Source organism: Homo sapiens, chromosome 12, assembly GCF_000001405.40.
Source record: "Homo sapiens chromosome 12, GRCh38.p14 Primary Assembly".
NCBI lineage: Eukaryota > Metazoa > Chordata > Mammalia > Primates > Hominidae > Homo > Homo sapiens.
In genome coordinates this window covers 64,871,141-64,882,026 of record NC_000012.12, presented here as the reverse complement: position 1 = coordinate 64,882,026, position 10,886 = coordinate 64,871,141, and the positions used below count along the sequence as shown (strand labels likewise).

Below are 10,886 nucleotides of genomic sequence, written 5' to 3'. Positions count from 1 at the left end.
CACCAATGGTTGATATTATGGTGCTGGTGAGGATAGGTTGCACGAGGTAATGAATGGGGAAGCTGTGGGAAAATAAGACGGAAAATTAACCATGGGTCAAATCATGCTAAGATAAGGATTTTAGCTTTTACCCTCCAGAAATTGAAGAAAGATTTTGACCAGAGGGATGGCCCAATTAGTTTTTCATTTTAGAAAGATCATTCTGGCAGCAGTGTATAGCCAAGCAGCAGAGAGGTGGGGTGGGCAGGGGGAGGGTCCAAAATGGATGGCAGTGAGACCAGTTAGGAGACCATTACAATACAGTCATGTGCCACACCACGTTTCAGTCAACGATGGACCTCATGTGCTATGGTGGTCCTGTGTGATTGTAATACTGTATTTTTACTGTACCTTTTCTAATATGTTTAGATACACAATTACCATTGTGTTACAACTGACTGCAGTGTTCGGCACAGTAACTTGCTATACAGGTTTGTAGCCTAGGAGCAATAGGCTACACCATATAGCCCAGGTGTGTAGTAGGCTATACCATCTAGGTTTGTGTGAGCACACTCCGTGATATTCGCACAATGTTGAAATTACCTAACAATTTCCCCATCGTTACCCCCGTCATCAGGTGATATATGGCTATAGTTAACTTGTTCAGTGGTTGCTAAACTTAGTTCAACGTTCAAATTACTAAGGAAGGCCAGGCACAGTGGCTCACATCTGTAATCCTAGCACTTTGGGAGGCCAAGGTGGGCGGATTGCTTGAGGCCAGGAGTTCAAGACCAGCCTGGTGGACATGATGAAACCCCATCTCTACTAAAAATAGAAAAATTAGCCGGGAATAGTGGTGCACACTTGGTAGTCCCAGCTACTTGGGAGACTGAGGCAGGAGAATCACTTGAACATGGGAGGCGGAGGCTGCAGTGAGCCAAGATTGTGCCACTGCACCCCAGCCTCGACAACAGAGTGAGACCCTGTCTCAAAAAGAAAACAATTACTAAGGAGGTTTTTTTTTATTTTTTGCTTTGTTTCATGTTTTAATATAGATTCCTGGACTCTCCAGGGATAGGGAGATTCCTAGGCTGAGGTATCAGGAAGTTTCTTCCCAGAAAACTGTTGGTCCCATAGGAGAATTGATCCACCTCCTTCCCAGTGATCAGCATTGCCTAAAGGAAAACTAGAATTGTTATAGCAAGGATGTAAACACTAAGAAACAAGTGAACTTTCTGGTTTTTTAATGTTAAAACAACAACAACTCTTGAAGCCCCTGGGGCACAGGTTGGTGTAGCTAGATAAAGATTGCCTGGGATGGAAGGGATGGAGAGAATGGAATCAAGTGACACTTTGCAGGTCATTTGGTCTCACCAGAGCAAACGACCAGGAAGGAAGCAACCTTCAACGTGATGGTATTTGAAGGCGGGGCCATTGGGAGGTAATTAGGTTTAGATGACACCAGGAGGATGGGACCCTCATGATGAGGTTAGTGCCCTTATCAGAAGAGGAAGAGACCAAAACATACTCCCTTTCTCCATTGTGTGAGGACACAGTGAGAAGGTAGCCATCTGCAAACCAGGAAGAGGGCCCTTCCTCACCAGATACCAAATTTGCAGACACGTTGATCTTTGACTTCTCAGCCTCCAGAACTGTGAGAAAGAAATGTCTGTGTTTAAGCCACCTCAGTCTATGGTACTTTGTTACAGCAGCCTGAACTGAGTCAGACATTCAGCATTGGGAGATGGCCAGCAGGGAACGGCATGAAAGCTGACCCAATACCTACAGTACCAGTCCCCATTCAGGTGAGCACTGGCTGCCTTTGTGGAAGAACCACTCCAACAGTTCTGCCTTCAGCCACTGTCCAGCAAAGGCCTCCCATCCATCACTGTATCCTGGTGGCTCTATGACTGTAGACTTGCTGACTTTACTCTGAGCTGCCTGATGTGGATAACAGATAACTCCCACTTCAATGGTCCAAATACTCACCGGCCTTCACATTTCCATCCTGGGGATGAATCATAATTCATCCAAACATCTCCCCTATTCCCAGATGTTTATATTGTTTTCAGGTTTCCATTAGTACATTTAATACTTCAATGAACATTTGCACATAAAGCTTTTACTGCATAACTTCCAACTCTAAAATATCTGGTATTCTTTGACAAAACCTAGTAATGGCTATTTCTTTGAGTTCAGGATACCAAGTCTCAAGTACTATTCCCTTCTCAAAAGATACAATTAAAGTTCTTTTTATGAAATTCAATACCTGTTGATGAAGAAAACTCTTAGCAAGCAAAGAATAAAAGGGAATTTTCTTAACCTAATAATAGGCACCTACCAGAAACCTCAACATCTTACTTAATGCTTCTTTTAAAAGTCAGGAATGAGGTATGGGTGTTATGAGTGTTCATTATCACTGCTTCTAAAACACTTCTGTTGGCACTTCCACACTAGAAGTCATAGAAAGGAAAAAAAAGGAAAGAGACTGCTGCCTCTTCCAGGATGTAGAGAAGCAGGCATTCTCATTCACTACTTGTATAACTCCAACCTTTAAGAATGGCAATTTGGAGATATATGTATCTTAAAAATGGACATATTTCCTGACCCTTCAACTCCACTTCTATACGCATATCCTAAGAAAATAATTCGGGCTATGTACATACATGTAACAGGATACTGTCTCTACTACTATCTAATCAGAAACCTCCTATTTGACAAGGTACTGGTTATGTGAATTCTGGCATGAACACATTAGGGAATATTAGTCACTAAAAATCATATTGTATAAGAGCATTTACCAGAAAGACAGCTTAAACTACCATGTTCAACATAACTTTTTTGTAGATAATGGCGTGTACACACATACACAAACGTACTGGAAAGATCTATATCTATATCAGAGTATTGATGATTCTTTATGCTCTTTTTGTTTTCCCAATTTTCTAAAACCTGTGACTTTTCTAATTAGGAAAAATAATATATTTTAAATGCTGCAGACAGCAAAGAAAGTGGCTCAGAAACGATGTAAAGAGAGTTTTTATATGGGGAGATGGCAGCAACTATACATCTATTCATACAGAATCCTTAATGCCATGCAGCTAAACTATATTTATTGTTCATTTTATTAAGACAAAAATAAATAGTAGATCTAAAGGTTAATTTTAGGTAAACTCTCTAGGTAAACTCTGTGCTTACTCATATTCAGGAACCAGCGAGTCTGCAAATGCTGGGCAGGTCACAGGCCACCCTGCAACCCAGCGATTAGACTGGGGGAGATAGAGCTTATTGGGCTGTTTCCCTGGTTCATGTGACCAAGGGGGGTCTGGGGTTGGGGGTGAAGGAAGAAGGAAGAAGGGAGAAGGGACTGTCACAACAGTGTTCCATGCTTGCACTCAGAAAATGGCAGAACAGTTACAACAATGAGAATCTTTATGCATATAGCTTTGTGATCAATACAATCCTTCAGAACAACAAGAGACAAACAAAGGAATACAATGTCCCAAACAGCTGCAGTCCACAGGCTGACATTGCTAACTAGATTTAGATCATCTGGAGGCTTTTGTAAGAGGAACTGAGGTGCAGAGGCATCAGAATGAGTTGATTCCCGGCAAAAGGGCTAAGAGGCTACAGACATATCTAAAAATCAAGAAACCACTACTTGTTAAGTACTTCTGGTGTTTGCATACAGTGTCCAATACATAGGGAAGATAGCAAGTCCATACTGGTCTTTGTACATGCTGTGTGGTAGAGGCTACTGCAGGTTTCTTTATTTTCTAAAGTAGGCAAGGCTCATAAATTGACCAATTCACATTGTGATTACTTGGTACAATGCATGCATGTTATTGGTACACAGAGTGCTTTAATAGGAATCTGTTGGATTTTCAAAATTCTGACAAGGCCATTTTTACCTCAGAGGACTATTATCCTTTCACTTATTCATTCATTCAACAGATACGTATCCCAAACTGTGTGTTACCTCATCCATCCCCTTCTCAGGAAGACCAACCCTGGAAATAGGTGAGAGGAGAGTGTTCACAGGGCACAGCATGTGTTGTTGATACTAAGTTTGTGGACAGCAATGGTACAATCCCAAGGACTTGTATAAGTGGCCTCTACCTCATTAACCATTTCCTTGAACCCAGACCATCAGGGAGCTAGTGAGCTGATTCAAGAGAGGAAAGAACAATTCTCCATTCAAGTCAGACATCCCTCAAGGGGAACATGACTATTCTGACTCATTTGAGAAGGGGCAAAGAAAAGGATATGAGGTGGAAACACTATTATCTGTAAAGTTTAGCTGATGGAAGAAAATGGTGTCATTTGCTTAACTTTGGAAAATGCAGTGGGTCTCTGGGCCCTGAGGGTGGTATGCAAAATAAGCCCATCTCTCCACCTACAGCCTTCCCAAAAAACAGGCTGTAGGCGTGGCTGCTTTTTAAGAAGCTGGATGCTAACTTCAGATGGCACAGAATTCAAGACCAAAACTGCAATAACTTATTAGTCATATTTTCCATCTTCAGTTCCTTTGGGGGTAAAAATACCACGAAGAAGATAAAATGGCTTTTCTCACGGTATAGGTCATTGTTGTGTTTTCTGTTCAAAAAAAGCCCACACAACCACATTCTCTATTATAAAAAGTAGTACCTCTCATAGTAAAAGCCTGCTCTACAGTTACAGTTTTCGTTTCAGAATTAACAATCCATTAGCTCAAATTAATATTGGCTGCATCAACAATATTCCTGCAAGTATCGCCAATCGTCTTCCAGAGACAAACATGAAGGCTGAGTCTATTCCTCTAATGATGGCGAGGAGAAGGGGATTGAGGAGTGAGCCTTCTGTTCAGCCAAATAACAGGTGCATGAAGCATTTTTAAAATAAACTCCCTGTTCAGGATAAGGAAGTCAGAGCTGGTTTTGTAAAATGCCATCAAGGGACTCTGTACCATCTGGAGACAGGTCCTTTGAGTCAGGAGGGATTTTAGTGAATGGCTTCCCAGTCTTGGTTTTTACACGCTATGTAGCCAATACATCTGTGTACAAAGAGCATTAAACCCACCTATTGCACTGAAGGAAATGTGGCTAAGTCACTTGGAATACCGAGAGTACTGACCTTGAGTAACTGAAGTGCTACTTCACCTCTGTGTGGCTCAGAGTTCCCATCTGCATAGTGGAGACAAGAGGTGCTATCCCTGACCCGCTGGGTGAGAGAGAGCTAGAAAGGGCAGGAGTGAGAGGGAGCTAGAAAGCACTGGGGCCTTCTCCAGAGAAAGGCAGTGTTCAATTAACAAAGTACTCAACAAAGGACTCCAATCAAAAAGCACAAAATTCAAGTAACAGAGTCACAGGTGCTGTGTTCTGGCTTCTGAGCAGAGGCCTTGTGCGTCTGCAGTCTAGAGCTGGTGGGTGAGTGAGCTGTGTGGTGGGGGATGCAGGCCAGGCTCCGCATGGAGCCCATCAAGTCATCCGTACCACTGAGGATCAAAGCTCTCCTTGAGAGGCGAACACAAACCTCAGGAAAAGCTCAGTGGCGCGAGCAAGCTGTCCGGAGCAACTGCGTAAAGCATATGCCAAGTGTGTCCTGTGCATAAGATCTTCAGCTGGGTTATCGATTGAAATTTCAACAGATGAAAGGTTTTCTTCATTTTGCAGGTAGAAATAGACAGTTAAAGAAAGGCTATCTAGATTTTTCTCCTATGATTTAGCATAAGAATAAAAAAAAAATTTGAAACTGGTACTGTGGGAAATCTCACACGACACAATCCCCTCCGTAAAGCATGAAAAGGAAAATCAGGAAGTTTTTTGTAACGAAGAAACTTACTTTCTTTTTACAGTTTCTGTCCTAGCAAGCTGGTATGTGCATGCTTGAGTATTAGTAACACCCAGAGAACTGGAAGGTTTGGGGGTGCTGTCACAGGGACTCTGAAGGCCCCCAGAACAGAAGGATGGACGAGAGTTAACAATCTAGATATAGTCTTTTTTAAACAGCTCACAATGAAAAATTGGGAAAACTTCACACTATAAAACCACAATATTTATTTTGCCACAAGAATCCACTTCGTCAGTTAGCAAGTAGCTGGGAAAACAGCCCTGTTCTAACTCCTATTATAAAACTTCCAGTTCCCATTTTTTATGGGCTGTTGCTCATCCCTGAACCTATTCATTTTCACTGGACAAATAAAACTCTTTTAGAGCCATTCAGCTGCAACCCTTATACTACTGTGAAAAGGTGAGTCCAGATACAAAGTTTCGGGGAGACATCATCGTTTTTTAGTGCCACTGTTTCCACCGCCGGGTTTGCTGAAGCTCCTACTCATTTGAGGAAAGTGCACAGTTGGGGTTCTTTCTGTAGGGCCATATAATCCCAAGTTCCTGGCAGTAGCAGATTTCCGCAGGGGCTTGACGCTGGGAAAAGGGCTAAAGATGGGGGTTTTTGAGTTGCTGCCTTGGGGAGCTTTGCTGGTGGCTTTGTTTTCTTCGGGTGCACTCGGCGGCTCTGGGCAGTGCCGCTGGCAGGGTGGGTGCACCCTGAGCTCAGTTTCAGCTGCAGCATCCCTCTGGTTCAGTTCCAGGGCTCCCAACTTCGCCTGAACTGCAGACACATCCACATCAGCATCTCCGAACACCGGCTCCGGAGACTGCCCCTCGATCGTCCTCCTGGTACTGCCTTCAGGGCTGCTGCCTTCTCTCCCAGCTGTCGCTGTACAACCAGAGGGGAATGCCTCTGCTGCCCCCAGCCCATTGGTCTTGCTGGCCTCGTTCTGCTCATCTATCAGCCCTACGGTGTCCCCACAGCCCGGATGACTCTTGGTCCTTGGCATGTTCTTTTTGTGGACTCGGATGTGAGTTCGCCACGGGGAGTTGAGCTTCGTCTTAAGGTCTTCGTAGGGGACAGGAGATATTTTCCCTCCTGTGTGACCAGGGATGTGGATGACAGCATTCTTGGCAGCTCTGTTAGTCATTTTCATCTTCTTTCCTAAAAGAAGGTGGTTTATAACTGGAGAACTGTTTACCTGAGACGGGAGAATGCTGGTCACTGGCCCTTTGTCTGAAAGAAATGTTGAAAGGTAGTATGAAGTGTACCACAAAGAAACACATCCATCTTGGAACAGAAATCACTTAGAGGTCCTCCCAGCCCCGTCTACCACATCCCTTCCCATGTGTTCCCCAGGGAGGGGCAGAGTCATGTGACTGAAGACAGCAGAAACTGAATTCAACCGAAGAGCCTGGAATACCAATGCGCTCTTCTTTAAAGAGGAAGGGACCACAGGGTGATGATACAAAAAGGAACATCTGACCCCTCATTCCTAATCAGAGCCTGGACTCCCTAATTTTTTTTTTTACAGAGAGCTCTTGGCTCTGAGTAGCAACCTCTGAGTTACTGTACTTAGAAAAATCTTTGCAGATTTAAAAAAAATAATACAACAAACACTATGACCATATGGATTATCATCTGTCAGCCTCTGAGAGGTAGGAAAAGAACACACTGCATATTATGAAGTGAGATCCAGCAGAATGACAGAAGTGATAAAAAGGTAGTGAGAATGCAGTGAAATCACAGCTATCCAGCATCTAGCCCTACAGGTGAAAAACCACTCCTGTGTCCTCAATGGACTTCGAAAGCCAATTGAAAACTGAAAAGCACCAAAAGCTTTGTCCTCAGCTAGGTGCCGTGGTTCATGCCTGTAATTCCAGCATTTTGGGAGGCCAAGGCAGGAGGATCACTTGAGGCCAGGAGTTCGAGACCAGCCTGGCCAACATGGTGAAACCCTGTCTCTACTAAAAATACAAAAATTAGCCAGGTGTGATGGTGCATGCCTGTAGTCCCAGCTACTTGGGAGGCTGAGGCAGGAGATTGCTTGAACCCGGAAGGTGAAGGTTGCAGTGAGCTGACATTGCGCCACTGCATTCCAGCCTGGGCAATACAGTGAGACTCCTTCTCAAAACAAACGAACAAAAAAGCTTTGTTCTCCTAGAAGGCACTGTCGATGGCATTATCATTGACCACCTGCGGCTATGACCAGACTCCTATTTCCAATGCAGCATTCAACACACATGGTCCCAGGATGGCAGCTGCAGACAGAAATTGTAGGGAGAAGGCCTCTCCCTCTGTGTGCGAGTTTCCTTCTTCCTTGATGTCCATGTCATCTGGCTGAACTAATTTCCACCCTTCTCTACTGTTGTCATTTACCACTGGTCATACCCCAGTATCAACTAAAAATGTTGATAACTGTCTCCTCTTCACCACATTCCTGCCACCTCCCCAATTATTTGACTGTCACTGTGATTGGCCCTCCATTACATTCTCATAGTTCCTCAACCTCTCCAGTTCCATCCTAAACATTATCACCCAGCTCTACCTTATGTGAAAATATTTAATTCTAATACTCCTCATTTTGGCTCTTCTAGCTCTCAGGCTCTCAGTCTAACTATATGTGGTAATGAACCACAGAGACTTCTGGCTCCTTGTTCCTCAGGCTCCTCACAACCCCTCATGTGTCTTCGGCTCACTGACACCCCTACCCTGCCAGATGCATGGCTGACCGCTTAGATCACTCCCTCACAGGCATCCCTGTCTCTTTGTCACACATTGCTAGTAAAGCCCCAACCTAGGGTCCATGATCTACATTCTCTTTTCTGAAACTGAGCCCTTTAAATTCATGACCTCCCATTTCACTGGGTCCTCAATGCCAAACAATCTTTTCATTTCCCTTTCTCGCTCCCTTCAGTGACCTAACTAAATCTTCATTACTTTCTTTAACCTCTCATTTACTCCCAATCCCCACCAAACAACTTTCCCCCAATTACTCCATGAAAACAAAAGCTATCAGATCTGAAAGGCCTCTATTTCCCATCCTCCCTAACTTCGGAAGCTGATACCTCAACCACCATACTCACCACCTTCCACTAAGTCTCAGAAGCTAAGGTCTTTTTGCCTCTAGTTCAAGTTCAATCTCTCCACCTGTGCTGCTAATCCTATCATATACCATCTCATCTAAAACCATGCTACTCAAACCATGGTTTCTGATATGGTTTGGCCATATCCCCACCCAAATCTCATCTTGTAGCTCCCATAATTCCCACGTGTTGTAGGAGGGACCCAGTAAGAGATAATTGAATCATGGGGGTAGGTCTTTCCCGTGCTGTTCTCATGATAGTGCAGAAGTCTCACAAGATCTGATAGTTTTAAAAATGGGAGTTTCCCTGCACAAGTTCTCTTTGCCTGCTGCCATCCACGTAAGATGTGACTTGTTCCTCCTTGCCTTCCACCATGATTGTGAGGCCTCCCCAGCCATGTGAAACTGTAAGTCCATTAAGCCTCTTATAAATTGCCTAGTCTCAGGTATGTCTTTATTTGCAGTGTGAAAACAGACTAATACAGTCCCCATGCAGCAGCACCAGCAGTGCCTACGGGCTTGTTAGAAACATATAATTTCAGCTCCATTCCAAACCTACTGAAACAGAGTGAATATTTTAGCAGATCCCCAAATGATCTGTATGCACACTAAATTTCAAGAACCAAAGCTCTAGAGCTTTGCCTTTGAGCAGCAATCTCTCCCTTAAAGAGAACCACCATCAACCATGATCTGAAGAAGGGGTCAGCAAACTTTTCCTGTAAAGGACCAGACTGTAAATATTTTAGCCACTGTAGTGTGAAAGGAGCCTTAGACAACCTGTAAACAAATGGGCATGCCTGTGTTCCAATAAAACTGTATTTACAGGCCAGGTGCGGTGGCCCACTCCTGTAATCCCAGCACTTTGGGAGGCCAAGGTGGGCAGATCACCTGAGGTCAGAAGTTCAAGACCAGCCTGGCCAACATGGTGAAATCCCGTCTCTACTAAAAATACAAGAATCAGCCAGGCATGGTGGTGCATGCCTGTAATCCCAGCTACTTGGGAGGCCGAGGCACAAGAATTGCTTGAACTTGGGAAGTGGAGGTTACAGTGAGCTGAGATTGCACCACTGCACTCCAGCCTGAATGACAGAGTAAGACTCCATCTCAAAACAAACAAACAAACAAAAAACTGTATTTACAAAAACAGGTAGTGAGCAGGATTTGGCCTACAGACCACAGTTTGCTGATCCCTGATGAAGGTACAAACCACTGGGCCGATTTAGCACCCTGAGCAATTGTTTACCGTCACACCCAAAGACTTGTACAGTGTAGTTAAAAAGGGACTGTACAAAGAATCAGAACACCTGTGTTCTAGCCCTGGCCTGACCACTCACTATAGCTATATAACCCTGGACAATTGCTAAGCCTTCCTGAATCACCATTTCCTCACTATTTGGAAGAAGATGGGACTATCTGTCCTTGCCTTCCTCATAGATTTGTTTTAAGGACAAAATGAGGAAATGTATGTGCCAATGTTTTTGAAACTTAAAGTGAAATTGTTCAGTTATTTTGTGACTGGTTTCTTAATGACTCAGGATAAAGTGAGAATCATCAAGAAGTCAACTATTCTTCTCTGATAAATGGAAGGTAAATTCAGTTTTTGTGCAGGATCAGTCACATGCTCACATGCCACTTTAAAAACATGTCAAATTTATATTTCAGTTAATTCTGGACAGGCACCATTTTCATTAAGATATTCACTTCAAGCAAGAAAAAACAACTCCCAAATCAGCATATATTAAACAATAAAGCAGACTGTTCACTGGGATTTTTGGAATTAAAAAGAAAAAAGCTTGGCAATCCTTGGAAAAGAGCATTTCCAATTGCATTATAATTGTGTTCTTCTTAGTATATTCCCAAGATACTTGCCATCAGCAAGGCACAGGTTTTTAATGTTTTTTTTCCCAGTTTCTCTGATACAACATCTGTTATAATATCACCTAAATGACTAGTATACAGCTTAATTTACTAGTGCACAGATGATTCTATATTCAGATGCATAAAATTTATG

General features: G+C 43.4%; 1 protein-coding gene across 14 annotated transcripts in view, besides 2 other annotated features; it reads right to left on the bottom strand.

Moving 5' to 3' along the window:
* The window catches only part of TBC1D30 (TBC1 domain family member 30), a 121,550-nt gene continuing 111,657 nt past the window's right edge, over positions 994-10,886 (bottom strand). For 10 of the 14 annotated variants that reach the window (XM_047428595.1, XM_047428596.1, NM_001330187.2 and 7 more), the window contains one exon: positions 994-7,026. In XM_047428595.1, the coding sequence (XP_047284551.1) occupies positions 6,239-7,026 (788 nt within the window). In that variant the 3' untranslated portion in view covers positions 994-6,238. The remainder of the gene's footprint in view (positions 7,027-10,886) is intronic. The other 4 variants (XM_024448903.2, XM_047428600.1, NM_001330186.2 and 1 more) reach the window with 1 other exon arrangement.
* Positions 9,081-9,180: an enhancer, noted in NCBI's record as "active region_6603". NCBI's record gives its function as "activates an Ori minimal core promoter by ATAC-STARR-seq in GM12878 lymphoblastoid cells {active_cell/tissue: GM12878}" and the evidence as "EXISTENCE:reporter gene assay evidence [ECO:0000049][PMID:35858748]".
* Positions 9,211-9,290: an enhancer, noted in NCBI's record as "active region_6602". NCBI's record gives its function as "activates an Ori minimal core promoter by ATAC-STARR-seq in GM12878 lymphoblastoid cells {active_cell/tissue: GM12878}" and the evidence as "EXISTENCE:reporter gene assay evidence [ECO:0000049][PMID:35858748]".